The sequence below is a fragment of the Homo sapiens genome, chromosome 8 (assembly GCF_000001405.40).
Source record: "Homo sapiens chromosome 8, GRCh38.p14 Primary Assembly".
Taxonomy (NCBI): Eukaryota; Metazoa; Chordata; class Mammalia; order Primates; family Hominidae; genus Homo; species Homo sapiens.
The window spans coordinates 7831238-7846837 of record NC_000008.11 but is presented as its reverse complement, the minus strand read 5'-3'; the positions used below and the strand labels follow the sequence as shown (position 1 = coordinate 7846837).

The window sequence follows — 15600 nt, the reverse complement described above, 5'->3', positions numbered from 1 at the left end:
GCAGCACAATGCGGAGGCCACTATCTTTTGGGTCTCAGGACAGATTCTCCACTGCAAAGCATGAGGTGCTGGTCAGGGAGAGCAGGAGCATCATTCACATCCTTTCACTTTAAGGAATTAGGAAGTCTTCCAATTCCAAGAGCACAGGGCAACACTGCGGAGATAGGTGACAACTGGCCCATGATAAGTTTCTTTAATCACTTACTGCATCAAATTCTGATAATTGGATGTTGGAAGAACATAGACAGTCAAGAAAGGAGGTAGACAGCTGCTCTACCTCAACCCTAAATGAAGATTTATTCGCTCATCTACATACTCTGGGTATTTTTTATACTCTAGTTCAATAGCAACTTCTTACAGTTGTATTTGTAATTATTTAAACTTGGAATGTGGATCTTTTATAACAGTGATGGAAATTTTGGAGTATATTGGTAACTTATTTCTATATATTTTTATCTTCTCTATAAAAGGAAAGAAAACAAAAACAAGCCTATTCCACCATTCAGATATTCATAGTAATGAATCATTAATCAAAATCATGACTTAAAATATAACAGCATTTGAGTAATTACCACCCAGGTAACGGAATCTTCTTTGAAGTCGTTAGAATTATTTGAAATTATTTAAATGAAGAAACTGAGCCAAAAATAGTTAGATCTCACTTCCTTTGTCTACGTCTTGAGATAAAGTAAGCCCCCTCTTCCATGCTTCTGAAAAGAACAATCTTAAAAAAGAGCAGCCGGGAAAGCCTAGTTCTGCTCTTTGACAGGCAAAAGCTGGTGAAGTCGTAATAAAGGCAATTAATGTTACATCTGTCCTAACACAACAATGCTCTCAGCTCCTGTCCTCTTCTGCCAGATTTCTGTGTCCTAAAAAAATCTTTGAATAATTCTCTTGCTAAAAGCCACATCCATCCTGAGGGGGAGGATGGCAGAACCCATTATAGAATATTCTAATAATTGTTTCAAGTTTTTTTTGGTCCATTCAATCAATAAATCATATTCTTTTTTTTTTAAGCTGCTTAGTATGTGGTATCTTGATTCGTTTGGACTAAGTAGGTGGGCTAAAGTAAAATGATCAAGATTTTATTGTCAAATAAGAAGTTCTGCAAATACATATTCCTGAAGGATCTTATTGGAAATTGCACACATGTGCAGGGGGTAAGATTTTCCACATCGGCACATCCTCCTTCTTGCTTCCCAAGTAGCATCCTGGTAAATCCTGGAAAATATGAATGCGAGAAGGAAAACCCTATTGTAGCCCAGTTTGGAATCAGAAGTTCTCTGCAGAATCAAATTTAGACTCTTCTTTTGCATTACTAAATGACCCAGTGAAAGTTTCTCTGGAGGAGACTCACAGAAGAGCGAAGCAAAGATTCCTATGCAGATTTTCTTATTCTTAAGTCTGAGATTGTAACATGCTAACCAGTCTGTAAGACCAACTAGAATGCCATTTAACAGAGGCACAGATTCCCCTCTAGGGAAAATAACTGATATATGGAAAAGACACAAATATTAGAGTCTTCTTTGGAAAAAGCAGTCAGGAAGAATTACATGATAGGAGAGAAAACTGCTTTTGGATCGTGGTTAAAGAAGTAGCTTTGAGAATTGTGCAAAAATATTCTTTGGTATTTTGTTTCTTTTTCATGCACAGAATCACAAAATGAATTGTGTTTTCAGAAGTCGATTTGATCTGTAGCCATTTCAGCCATCCCAAGAATGCTCTTAAGGCAGCATATGAAAGAACACAGGAAATCCTTTCATGAGCGCTAAGGCATAAACACCATTTAGTTTTGGTAATAAAAACATGGTATTGTTATAAGTTTAAATAAATCTGTTGAGATTGCCTATTCTTTTTCTTGAGACGGAGTCTGGCATTGTTGCCCAAGCTGGAGTGCAGCGGCGCCATCTCAGCTCACTGCAACCTCCGCCTCCCGGGTTCAAGCGACTCTCCTGCCTCAGCCTCCTGAGTAGCTGGGATTACAGGTGCCTGCCACCGCGCCCAGCTAATTTTTGTATTTTTAGTAGAGATCGGGTTTTCACCATGTTGGCCAGGCTGGTCTTGAACTCCTGACCTCAAGTGATCCTCCCGCCTCTGCCTCCCAAAGTGCTGGGATTACAGGCGTGAGCCACCCTGCCTGGCCGAGGTTGGCAATTCTGACGAAACAATCATAACATTTTGGAACTGAAAACTGTCTTAGAGACCTAACCAATATTTTAAGAAGAGGAAATGGAGGATGAGTGAAAAAGCGATGTGTCTATATGTGTTAATTAAAGACTAAAGATCTGGAGGAGGCTATGCACTGCAGACACTATTAACAGAATGGAGTCCATGTAAATAAACAAAGGGGTGCTCAAAGTTAAAGGGAAAGGCAACAGATTTGTTTGGGGAAGAGCAGGAGTTCATGGTGGTCACAGACATAAGAAGAAATGTAGTTTTTCACGGGAATAGTATCTTTTCTCCACGGTGCCATGATGCTTTTATTATTTTGGGTGTAATTTCTCATAACTGGAAAGCATTTCAGCCCCTTCCCAGTCCTCAGAGGTTGACCATTTTTTTCTCTCGGATTCAGCCACAAAGGCAGCTCTACCACTCACCATGTGTCTGTCTTTGACTTTGTCATGTTGGGAAGACTCAGGACCCCACCTATTTTTACCCACAGGGCCCTCTGTGCCTATGAAACTGAGGTCCCAGCAGTCCTTGTGGACATATCACAATCTAAAATTCAGGGATAAGAAAATCTACATAGGAATCTCTGCTTCACTCACCTGTGAGACTCTTCCAGGCTAATTTTCTTTGGGTCATGTGGTAATGCAAGAGAAAGTTGATTCTATAGCAACTTCTGAGCACAGACTTGGCTGCAATATGTTTCCCCTTTACACAGTCATATTTTCCAGGATTTAATGGGATGTCTCTTGGGAGGCAAGAAAGAGAATATGCCAGTGTGGAAAACCTTAACTCCTGCACGTTGAAAATTTCAAGTTCTGCTCTTTTGGATATTTAAATAAGGACCTGGGTGGTGATTTGCTCACCCAGAGATTTTCTCTGTCAATCTCTGTCTCTCTCTCTCAACTTCAAATAATAAAAAACGCATAAATTAAAAAGTGAAAAATATCCAAACAATCCTTCCTTCTGTTGATTTTCATTAGGCACATTTCAAAGGGTTACTGATCATTCATTATGAACTACAGACTTCAGATCTGTATCCATCCTTTGGAGATAGAAGATAAGTAGCAATGTTATTGGGTTTCTGATTGTGTTTGTAGTGCATCAGGTACAAATTATTAAATATTTCCTGCCAATTCTGGAAACAATAAAATAGAACAATCTATCTTTGTTCTTTTACTGTAAAGCCCTGAAATTAAAGTAGTGCGACTTTGTGATGTCGTTAAGTGCTGAGGATAGCAGTTCATTAATATGACTATGTGAATTACACCTGAGGGCGGGAGGGGGCGCTGTTTCAGAATCCAGCCTCTTTAGAGAGCAAAACAATAGGACACCAGGACGGCAAGCCAAACCCAGGGCTCTTCAGTGAAGACCACGATACAAGGCTTTCTACGTTATCTGACAATGAGATAGCTTTGCTTTCTGCTTGTTCTTGTCTCTCTGGCCACTACGGCGGGTGGCGTTGATTAAAGTCTGTAGAAGTCCCTTGCTTTGCTCTATATTTACATTGGGAGGTACAAGATGGCCTCCTTGGCAAGGCATCAAATTACATTTTAAAAGGAGACAAAAAATAATTGTAGCACAGGGTCAGCAGTTGGATCTCTGTTTGTAAGTGTTGTTGGGCAGAATGGCCATACGGCAGGAGGGGAAATCAAGGTACAAGTCAAATAAGTCACCTTCCCAAGGTCCCCTGCTAAGCAGTAGAGCTGGGATTCCAGGCTTTGCGTATTTGTACATGCCATGCTGTGCTGCCTCTGAACTGCACTTGAGATGTGGGGTCTAGGCCTGGTCTTGCCTAATATCGTGGCCAGTGTTAGGAAAACCACTAATCCGTCTGAACCTTAGTAACAGTGCCTAAAAGGTGAGGATGTTGACACTTACCATGCCTAATTCAAGAGTTTATGGTGAGGATCAAAGGAGATTATGTATTAAAAGTATTTTATAAAATACAAAATATGAGAATAATGAAAAGAGTCTAAAAAAATGTAAGACTAAAATAAATGTCACATTGTCTTATAGCGTGTTCTGTATGTTGCATTTGGAGTGTGGCATCCTTGGGGGTGGTTCAGTAGTTTCTTCTTTTCCTGTAATTGCAGTGTTGAGACCTAGGGGCTTGCCCAGATATGCACTCAATTTTCAGCACAATATTTTATAGATGGAATAGAAGTACACATCACCATCTGTGCAAGAGGCCTTGGAGGTAAACAACCTGAGGCAGTATGTGGACCTTCCAGGATCCAGATTCTAATAAATCAACTCTTAAAAAGGCACTTATGAAATGCTCAGGGTCATTTGAATACAGATTGGCTGTTAAATTGTATTTAGGAATGAATGCTGATTTTTTCCAGGGGTGATAATAGTATTGGGGTTCTATTTTACAAAACGAGTTCTTTCCCCCTGAGTTACACCTTCTAGAGTATTTTCAAATGGGCACCTTTGAAATAATTTATTTTTATTTGAGATAATCTAGGAGAGAGTTATCAAGGGATGAAACAAGACTAACCACATATTGAGGCTGGGCGATGCCTACGCGAAGGGCCGTTACACTGTTTTGGTAGAAAGGGCACAATGCAGCCTCAGTTTCCACCCTGACAAGGTGAGGATGATGCTGCTTACCATGACTAGAAGCTCGTACGTGGCATTATGTCCTTCTATTAGGAAGCACAGGGTAGCAGGTTGTCTTTCTGGCTTATTTTAATCGCTGTTGACATTCCTTGGCTAGATCCCTGTTTCCCTATGTGTTTGCAAAATGGCGACACTCCTCATTTATTAGCTGGGCTGCTTTCGAAGAGAGAAGCTTTTGACTACCTTAAAATTTGGTTTGGACAGGAAAGGCAGGCAGGTCAAATGTTTCATCACTCACCTTTCTTTACAGGTTTTCAGGATCAAGAATCCACAGCTCAGCGCAGGGCTGCTCTCTGCTGCCCTCTGCTGGATGGGACCCTCCACAGACGCCCACTTGATCAACCCCTTAAGCTCCAATGGGTTCCCAAGCTTGTCATCACACATCACCTCTTTTGTTTTTCTCCTCAGAGGTCTATGTTTTGAAATATAGTGTATTCTAAACAAGGCACACTTAACATTGATTTACTTTACATTTTAATTAACACATGATATATATAACTCCTGAGCAAAACTTTCGATCGGAAAAGAAAACCAATATTATCAGGATAAAAATGATGTTTTTCTTAGGTTTATAGCTGATTAGGTAGACATATTTTTTGTTCAACTTATAAAGTGTTGAAACTCATGCTTAACTCCCATTGTTATTCTCCATTATCACAACCAGAGGCGGCTTTCCAGCCTGTATTCTTCTTCAATCTCCTATATTGGCTTTGCATTGAGTGGAAGCTCAGCAAACCTTCTTTGATAACTGAACCCGTGGTTGCAATGGGGATGCCCTTGCTGCTAGGCCGCAGGAAGGAAAGCTACTGAGGTCCTACTTCCAGCGACTCTAGGGACCAGCACTACTGCGTTTCAGGGTTTTGTACGATTCAGTAAGCTCTCATCCCATTTTCTCAAACAGCATGCATAGGTGTTGGGACATCTTCCAATTCTGTATTCTTGGCTGCGACATTTCTTCCGGCAACGGGCAGTCCCATAACCACATATTCTGTCCAATTCAAATTCGCTTCTCACTAGATAACAGGATATGGCACTGTCATTAATTGCTTACTGGCACCAAAAGGCAAGGCTTTGGTAGAAGGTGTTTTCGGAGGGGGATAGAGAATGCTAGTGCATGGTGGTAGAGGTTTTCCTGGACCCCCATCCTCCTCCACTTTCCTAGATGATTGACTTGACCTTCTGATTCCCAACCAGCATGGATTTTATTTGAAAATGTACATCATTCCATGTCACACTTATTTTCAAAATCCCTACAAGTTTACTATTGTTTTCTTTATTAAATCTCTCCAAGCCCCTTACTTGGTCTCCAAAGCAATCGTGATCTGATCTTGGGCCACTTTTTCAGACTCATGCTTTTCCACTGTGGCCCTCACTCTGTCCATGAAACTCTCGCCGGCTTCCCTTCTGTTCCGTGTGAGCTTACTCTTTGCTATCCTGGTACCTTCACGTGCACTGTCCCCTCTGCCTGGAAGGTTTTTCTTCCTTCCCATAAGTGAATTCTTTGAACTTTTATGTCTCAACCTTAAGTTCCCAATATTGGGCAAATCTTTCTCTGTCCTCTTCGTGTATTCAAATGCCCCAAAAGTATTTTTTCTCCCTATGCATTTGTTATTCTTTTATATCACCTATCGCAAGTTGTAGTTATATATCTATGTATCTATATAGGTATATATATATACACATATATAGAGAGAGATACATACAAACATAGACATAGATATAGATATGTATATATGTATGTATATTTTGTTATTTGCTATTCTCATTCGAACTATGAGCTCCCTGACAATGAGGCCCATGTTTATGTTGCTTACCATTGTGTAACTGCTACCAGGAACATAGCCTGTTCTCAATAAGGACGTGGTGAGTAAATGATTGGATAGACTAGACCAGAATAAACTAGAGTGGTTGCAAGTAGAGAGGAGGAAACTAGAAAGGAGCAGAATCCTGATTGTTCGGCCGTTGGCCCAGAGCAGTTTTCAGGAGACATGGATTTAGCTTCTCAGTCTCAGGGTGCGCTCTCTGAGGCTGAAAGCAGCTTTGTAAAACTCATTATCTCACATGCCACACTGATAGGATCTTACAGAGATATCAGGAAAACCCAGAAGCAAGGCTGATGGTAGGGAGGACAGCGTAAGGTGGACCGAGAGAGTCTCGCTGGAGAGAGCTTTGCTAGAGGTTCTCTAGCAAACTCAGCAGGAGCCAGGCTTGGGAGAGGGTGTCAGAAGAACCCTGGGGAGAGGAGAGTCAGGGCTGCAAATGGACCTCTTTGCAGAGGTCGGGGCCCAAGAGTCCTAATTTCATCTTAGCCTTAAGTCCTTCTCCCCTGTTGCATCTGTTCCTTTTCTACAAAGCAGAAACGGGCTGCTAATCCTCGCACCAGGGTTTTATGTCTTTCATTTGTTCTGGTAAAGAGAAGCCTCCTGTTTCTGATGCTTAGGTATCAAGGTTCTTTGTCCAGGATGTAGGTGAGGACTAAAAGGCAGTTTGACCAATTCATGTGCTGGATAGGATATTGTAGGGGTTAATATTTGCAATGGCCCCACAGCGGGTGATGAGGAAAGACTGTTTTGCTGTAGGCTTCATTCAAAAGCAAGCCCTTGTGGTCACAGTACAAGGCAATGAAGAAAGGAGTGAGGTGGGCTGCAGTGTGTATCATGCTGAGGGAGTATGTGGAGGTTGAGTAGCAGATATGTGCCTTCTGACATATCTGTGGCAGGTCGCTTTACAACCTGGAGTTAGAGGAGGAAAAAGAGGACAGCATGCTTGCTCAGGGAAAACGAAGCTTAGCGTTAGGGGAGAAGAAGAATAGACTAGGAAGAGAACACAACCTTTAAAATGTTAGACTGTCAGTTTCAAACAAGCCCTCACAGGCCATCTATTTAGAGATGGGAATGAAGGCTCAGAGAAGGAAAGTGACTAATCTGACGTCACACAGCAACTTATGTGTCAAAGCTGGAAGAAAAACCTAGTTGGTATGTCTTACAGTCTCAGTAAACAGAATGCAAAAGGGAGAATGCAGTCCATACACTAAGGCTGAGTAATAAACATTTCCTAAGCAATAAATACATTCCAGGGTAGACTACACTACACTAGTTTCTTTCTTGCATAAGCAATTTTCCTCCTCTGCTCTACAGACCCAGAAAATCTTAGGCAGGTCTCAGGTCTTAGTTAATGTAGAAAGTTTATTTTGTCAAGGTTGAGGACACACCTGTGACACAACCTCAGGAGGTCCTGAGGACATGTGCCCAAGGTGGTTGTGATACAGCTTGCTTGGTTTTATACATTTTAGGGAGACATAATACATCAATCAAGACGTGTAAGATTTGCTTTGTTTTTTTTTTTGTTTGTTTTTTTGGTTTTTTTTGAGACAGAGTCTTGCTCTGTCGCCTAGGGTAGAGTGCAATGGCACGATCTCAGCTCACTGCAACCTCCACCTCTTGGGTTCAAGCGATTCTCCTGCCTCCGCCTCCTGAGCAGCTGGAATTACAGACATGCACCACCACACCCAGCTAATTTTTGTATTTTTAGTAGAGACGAGGTTTCACCGTGTTGGCCAGGCCAGTCTCGAACTCCTGACCTCAAGTGATCTGCAGACCTCAGCCTCCCAAAATGCTGAGATTACAGGTGTGAGCCGCTACACCTGGCTGATTTACATTGGTTTGGTCCAGAAAGGTGGGACTATTCAAAGTGGGGGTGGCGGGGGGCCTGTGGGGGTGCAGTGGGAGTGTGTGGCAGGTGGCCTTCCAGGCTATAGGTAAATTTAAACATTTTCTGGTTGACAATTGATTGAGTTTGTCTAAAGACCTGGGATCAATAGACAGGAATGTTTGGGTTGCGACAAGAGGTTGTATTGTGGAGGCCAAAGTTGTATCATGCAGTTGATGCTTTTAGCTAGCAGGCTTCAGAGAGAACAGGCTGTAAAATGTTTCTTATCACACTTAAAGTCTGTGTTGATGTTCATGATGGAAAGTGTAATGAGGCATGTCCAACCCCCACTTCCTTTCATGGCCTGAAGCAGTCTTTCAGATTAAATTTTAAGAGCCCTGGCTGAGGAGGGAGTCCATTTAGATGGTTGGGGAGGGGGCTTAGAATTTTATTTTTGGTTGACAGCACCCATCCCCAGTCCCTGTGGGTATCTGAGGGGCTGACAGTGTGTGACAGCCAAACTTACCCAAAGCAGGGGTGGCAGGAGAAGAGGCAGGCAGCGCATGTCATTCACCCTCACCCACTTCTGCCACTTCCCTCCCTAATCCTCTTCCTGCTAATGGTCTTTCTCAGAATTCAACTGCAGAGGACAGTCTGACCCAGCCCTCTGCAGCCAAGTGTGGATAATGGCAGCCAGCTCTGCGGTGCATTCTTCGGGATCTGGAGGGATCCCTGACCCAGGCTTTCCATCCCAAGTTCTTTGTCTTGGGATCAAAGGTTGAAGAAAACCTGTTCTTTGATAAATTGCTATCATATTTTAACAGACCTGGAACATGCCCATAGCAGAATTTCACAGAAGTGTCTTTGGGAAATGACACGGGAAGAAAGAAAAAGGAAGAGTTAACCTAAACAGGTACCCTCTGAAAAAAAATCATTAACCCATCTGAATCACAGTGGAGGCACAGCCCGGAAGGGCAAAAAGATGGGTGCTGGGTGTCTGTCAAAGCCCCATAAAATTGACTGAGCAGCTTGGAAGAGAAGATCCGATGGCTTCTACGAGTCAAAACAATTGGTTTCGTCCCAGCACTGCTAGACTTGTTAAGCAACTCTAAAAATCTTATTTTCTCTCACTGTACCATAGAGAATGCTGCTCAGCTTGTAAAAGAAGGGAATTAGATTAGGTGCTCTCTCATATCCATTGCAAATATATTAAGAAATACATGCTTCTGGGGACATAGATTAACGTAGGAGTCAGAAGATTGCTGACATCTCAGTCTAAAATTTCCTGAGCAGAGTTCAAAGGCACCTGCTATTTGTGTTGTCAGTAAATTACGTTCTTGCCTACTGAAATCACTGCATCCCCTTTAACCCTAATCATCTGACTTGATATGAAAAGTTGCAAAATTTAGGAGGATGAGTAGGCGCCCTTTTCTGTGCAGAGTAAAGCTGTTCAGAAGGAGGAGGATGGGGGAAGGCATCTTATTCTACAAAATCAACAATGAATAATTGCTGTTGCCCTGCAATGGAACAAGCATGGCTAGTGAGTCCTCATTGCTGAGGATTCCATGAGGAATTGTTACCGTGTGTGGCCAGGGTGCCAAGGACATCTAGGACTCCTGATCCCTACGTTTCTTTTTTCCTCCTTGAGCTAGTAAGCCTCGTGGCTGTAAGGTGCATACAAGGACTGCCACATACTGCATTTTACTAATGGACCCAATGAAAGCAAAGAGAAAAAAGGCTGAGATTGAAGAAGGTTACTCCATCCTTCAGGATTTATTTTCTAAATCAAATGTTTTTCTTCTCCCCCTGTCATCCCCAGCAACTGTGTATATTTCCAGCTGAGAGTCCCTTTTTACCTGGAAGATCTTGATAGAGTAGAAGAGAAATGGCTAATAGCAGCACAAGTCTCTGCATAATGCTGGGGCTGCTGGCGAGAAGCAGACGCAAGTCGGAGGGAATCACCCCAGGCAGGAGCAGGGCAGGTGTATTTATGGGCAGAGGCTGCTCTTGATTACTGAGGCTTATCAAAATGCAGCGTTCCTTGGTGAACACTCACCAAGGCACAGTGTGGGGGAGGTGTTGGGGCTACAGAAATGCCAGCTGGGCAGTGTTGAGGGTGGGGAGAGAGTATTACCATAGGTAAAGTCCAAGTCACTTCACTTGCTTCCCTGAATCGTTTCTGAAGCAAGAACTGGATTAGATGATCTCTAAGATACCTTCCAGCCTTGACATTCCTCAATTCTGGTGAGAGGACTTTCTCTTCCATTTCAGTACATTTCAGTCAGGAGATTCTTGTTGAAAATTGTGATGTGGCTAATGGAATTGAAGTCCATAGCCCCCAAGACCTCTCTGAAGTAAACATTGAAACAAACATACAATGTCAAGGAGAAGAATGGCATGGAGCGTGGGGAGGTCATAAATGCGTGAAAGGTCCCAGGACATTTCTGTGATAGAAAGAGTGTAGGATGAGGATGACAAGTGACAACAAGGAATACTTGATGGCGGGCATTGTCCAAGGGTGGGATTGTAACCACAGAGCATCAGGCTCACTTAGGGCTTAGGTGAAAAGGAGGACAAGAATGAGAAGAGAGGTTAAAAGGAGACAATTCATGAGAATGCTGTATTTCTAACAATGGCTTCAAATAAAACATAACCTTCCAGAGAGCATACGCCTGGCCCTCAACCCGGGGTGTATGCTCCCTGGATTTAACCCCAACCCCACCCGAGGCAAAACATATAGAGCATATGCTCCTGGCATTTGCCCTTAGGGAAAACACCAGATAATTTTATTTTAAGAAAAAAAAAATACTTCATTTCTCTAAAATGAAGTACTTTAGAGAAAGTAAAAACGTCCAATCTTGAAAGTTGACATTCTCGAATAAGCTCCCCTTATTCTAGAACACAGATTAGACAAAGCCTGACAGACATACGTTGCTTGCACATCCTAAGCAAAATCTAGCAGTCAGTGTGTCTTCCCCAGAGTTCTCACTTAGGGGAGAATGTGATGGAAAACCAGGTCTCCTTTCACAGTAACGAAATAGAATAGAACATCAGAAATCATAAACTATGCCAGTTTGGGTGCTCCATGAAGCATTTATCAACAGGAATTAGAAAGGAAATAAATTTATTGGGAAATGCCTGTGAAAGATAAAGGGGAGCCAGGCGCAGTGGCTCACACCTGTAAATCTCAGCACTTGGGGAGGCTGAGCGAGGGAGGAGGATCATGTGAGCTCAGGGGTTTGAGTCCATCATGGACGGCATAGAGAGACCCCGACTCTACACAAAAAGAAAATTAGCCAGGGATGGTGGTGTGTCCCTGTAGTCCCAGCTACTTGGGAGGCTGAGGCAGGGGGGTCTCTTGAGCCCGGAAGTTCGAGGTTGCAGTAAGCTATGATGGCACTACTGCACTCCAGTGTAGTAGGCAATACAGCAAAACCTTGTCTCTGAAAAAAATAAAATAAAATAAAAATTCAAAACAAAAAGATGAAGGGGAGAGGGAGCAAGATTGAGTAGGGAAAGTCTTCAGAACATGATGTCAATTAACACCTGTGAAAAGGTTTGGAGTCGGGGGAGCCTCAGACTACAGTGCAGAAAATTTCAGCATTGCCAGTGGGGAACCCCAGGGCAAAGACTGTCCTACACCAGCAGACATGGCCCAGCTCTAGTCCACATTGTGCTCATTCACTGCCTGGAAGCAGCCAGGGCAAGAGTGGTAGCCATGGGAATCCTGCCGCAGGTTACAAACGTGCAGCACGTAGAGGCCGTCGGATACTCTCCTCACAGCAGACACACAGCAAGCACAAATGTGCAGGATCCATGGGACCCTCCTAGCCTGCCACATGTCAGGCTTTAGTAATTTTTGATGATGAGCTTCAAGGGAAAAACATCAGCCAATATTCAAGGTCATCTATGTGACCAGGATTCTGAAGAAAACTGAAAAATTCTGATGATAATAAATATTCAGCAATTCTTCAAAAAAAAAAAAAAAGTAATTCATATACAGGGACTGAATAACCAAACTTCAAAAGAAATCCTATATCTTCTTAGGAGAAAAAAATAATAAAAGCTTTATTTGCTGAGTCCTTATAAAGTATTTCAGAGTTCTGGTTTCGGTCGCTACAAGTAAAAAGACTGAAAGTAACTACTTTACTCCTTTAAAAAAGAAAAAAAAAAGCCAAATAAATGGAAAAATCAATGACTTTTCTTGGACCCATTAGGGAACTGAGGGCTCCGGGCAAACCCATTGCGTGGAAATCTGGAGTCACAGCTGAGATGAGCTAACCTGGAATGGAAGCTCTGAAACCATGAACTAGCAGGAACACTTACGGTGATTTCGACAACTTGCTGGAGGCTGAACGTGGACATTTAGGAGAGTGAAAAACTGCTAGAGACCATGGTCAAAGGCTCTCCCTTCTCAACCCCTGCTTTCCTGGGTTTTAAATCCAGGAAGCCCCCAAGGTTATCATGGTGAAGAGCCAGAATGGAAGCCCTCATTGCCCTGAAAGGAGAAGGGAAGAGTGATATTGTGAAACATGTCCAGAGGATTCCCCATAACCAAAGCCTCCTCCTCTGCAGGAAAAACAATTTTACTCGAGCCATATCCCACCTGGAGGGGAAGACGTTTCCCTATTCCAGCCCCATCTGACCTTCCTGTCTCACTTGAGGGATGGGGGTAGCTAAGAATTTCTTGAGAGCCGGGCACGGTGGCTCATGCTTGTAACCCCAGCACTCTGGGAGGCCAAGGTGGGCAGATCACCAGGTCAGAAGTTCAAGACCAGCCTGCCCAATATGGTGAAACCCCATCTCTACTTAAAAAGTACAAAAATTAGCCAGGTGTGGTGGTACACACCTGTAGTCCCAGCTACTTGGGAGGCTGAGGCAGAAGAGTCACTGAACCTGGGAGGAGGAGGTTGAAGTGAGCCAAGATCATGCCACTGTACTCCAGCCTGGTGACAGAGATTTAAAAAAAAAAAAGTTCTTGTGACAGTCACAGTGCAGGGACACACAGGCTCAGGTAAAGATGAGATTTACTTATAAGATTATAGAATGCTTCCTTTTCCCCTGCCTCTTTTTTGTTCATCCCTTGCAGCTGTCTGAGACATAAGATCCTTAATATCATCCTCAGGTTAGTCCCATTCAACCATCGCCTCCATTTGCAGGCTTGACCAGGTCCCAGTATCATGTGGATAAATTGACAAAGATCAGGAAGTCATGGATTGTATGTTTAAATGAGGATTCTAAATTCCTCAGCAAATTCCTGGGGGTTTTCCTTTGGGTTAGGGAAGTCTTTCACTATTTCTGTCAGTTCGGATTTTGACCAAGACATAAAGGTAATTAAAGAAGGCAGACACAGTTGATCTGAGGAACTAACTTTAGAAGGCATTTTCCTAACTTGCTTCTCATCTTCAGAGTAGAAAGGCAGCTGAGTGAAGAGGGTAGTGGAATCAGAGTAATTAGGCAGAGGAAGAAGAGAGACAGGAGGAAAAGAAGGAGCATTGAGAGTTGAGTGAGTCAATGTACAATTTTTTATCATCACTGATTAAGTGCTTAAGCTTTTAATTTGCCTTTTGTAAAGAGTCTTTAAGAAAGGCAAGTTTTGATTTGCTTAGTCTTTTAGAAGCTTCTGCATGCCTATTAAAAACATATCTCATTTTTTTTTTTGAGGCATTTAAGATCACTTCTCTTTCAATGTAGCTTATAGATGAATAACTGTTTAGGTTAAAATTTCTTCACTGTGACCAGTGTAATCCTAAGTTGTCTTTAGTAAAGTTTACACATTTATTTAGAAAAACACAGGTTCTGGGTCCATAATTTTTATACATGAACGTAGCTAGAGTCCCAGATGGAGAGGTTCCAGACTACCTGGATACAGATGAACTCATGATTCTTTGTCTTCCCTAAACCCTACCTTCTTAAGACCTTCTGTTGGACCCAGTCCAGTTTCTGCTGGATCCAGACACAGAGAGAAAGCGGTGAGTAAAACCGGCTCAGCTGGTAACTACATCTGGCTACTCATTGTCCCAGGAACCATTATCAGGGCTTCTTTGGGTCCCTCTTCTGACAACAGAAGTATTAAAAAATAAACTTAGGCACATAAAAATCTTAGAGTTTTCTTTTGAGCAGATATCAATTTAAGAATCGGGCAGGCTCCAAATCACAAGTCTTTTGGGGCTCACGCAAAGAGGCACGAGGAAAAGGCTTTTATAGGGTGAAAATGGAAGAAAGGCAAATTAAACATCTAATTGGTTAAGGTGGAGTATAAGCCTTATTCGAATCATTCCATTCCCTTGTTAGAGGTTAGTTGGTGGTTTCTGATTGGTTAAAGTTTTCTTTTACCATTCAAACCGAGTTGGGTTTTAGTTTGCTTATGTAGAAACCGAGTGCACTGAAGCTCCCGCAGTCTAATGGCCTCTCATTTAATTATTTTAACAAGAGAAATATTCTGTGTTCATATAATAGAGAATTTAACGTTAAGATGTCAATATTTACAACTTGACCTATAGATTAAATATAATCCCAGTCAAACTTTTAGCAAAATATGTTGTTGACATTTCCATACTGATTCAAAAGACCTAGGATCGTCAATACAATACCGGAAAGAACAAGGTTGGTGGATGATAGGGTTTCTGTCCCCATCTAAATCTCATCTTGGGTTCTTGCTCCCATAATCCCCATGAGTCATGGGAGGGACATGGTGAGAAGTAAATGAATCATGAGGTGTTTCTTTTCTGTGCTTTTCTCATGAAAATGAGTAAGTCTCACAAGATCTGATGGTTTTATAAAGGTCAGTTCCCCTGCACACGCTGTCTTTCCTGTCACCATGTAAGACATACCTTGCTCCTCCTTTGCCTTGAGTCATGATGGTGAGACCTCCCCAACTGTGTGGAACTGTAAGTCCATTAAACCTCTTTTTCTTCATAAATTACCCCATCTCGGATATTTATTTATAGCAATGTGAAAATGGGTTAATACAGTGAACTTACACTACCTTATATCAAGACTCACTAAAAAACTGCAATGATGAAGGCAGTGTGGGAGTGGTGAAGCAATAAATAAATAGATCAAACAGAGAAACAGAACAGAATGGATAGCTCAGAAAAGATCAAAGCAACTCCTCTCTATCAAAGAAGCAAAGGTAATATAATGGAGGAAGAATAGTCT

General features: G+C 42.3%; 1 protein-coding gene and 1 pseudogene across 1 annotated transcript, besides 2 other annotated features; both read right to left on the bottom strand.

The window, feature by feature from the left end:
• Nucleotides 1–15600, bottom strand: part of LOC124901865 (translation initiation factor IF-2-like) — a 451468-nt pseudogene that overhangs the window by 218354 nt on the left and 217514 nt on the right.
• Nucleotides 3238–3737: an enhancer, noted in NCBI's record as "NANOG-H3K27ac hESC enhancer chr8:7700623-7701122 (GRCh37/hg19 assembly coordinates)". NCBI's record gives its function as "activates a minimal SCP1, AML or CMV promoter by ChIP-STARR-seq in primed H9 embryonic stem cells {active_cell/tissue: H9 hESC(primed)}" and the evidence as "EXISTENCE:reporter gene assay evidence [ECO:0000049][PMID:30033119]".
• Nucleotides 3738–4239: an enhancer, noted in NCBI's record as "NANOG-H3K27ac hESC enhancer chr8:7700121-7700622 (GRCh37/hg19 assembly coordinates)". NCBI's record gives its function as "activates a minimal SCP1, AML or CMV promoter by ChIP-STARR-seq in primed H9 embryonic stem cells {active_cell/tissue: H9 hESC(primed)}" and the evidence as "EXISTENCE:reporter gene assay evidence [ECO:0000049][PMID:30033119]".
• On the bottom strand, nt 5596–10402 carry DEFB104A (defensin beta 104A). Its single transcript, NM_080389.3, has 2 exons — nt 10296–10402; nt 5596–5804 (listed from the first exon to the last, which is right to left on the bottom strand). The coding sequence occupies exons 1-2, from the start codon at nt 10351–10353 to the stop codon at nt 5644–5646; spliced, it is 219 nt and encodes a 72-aa protein (NP_525128.2). The 5' UTR covers nt 10354–10402; the 3' UTR covers nt 5596–5643.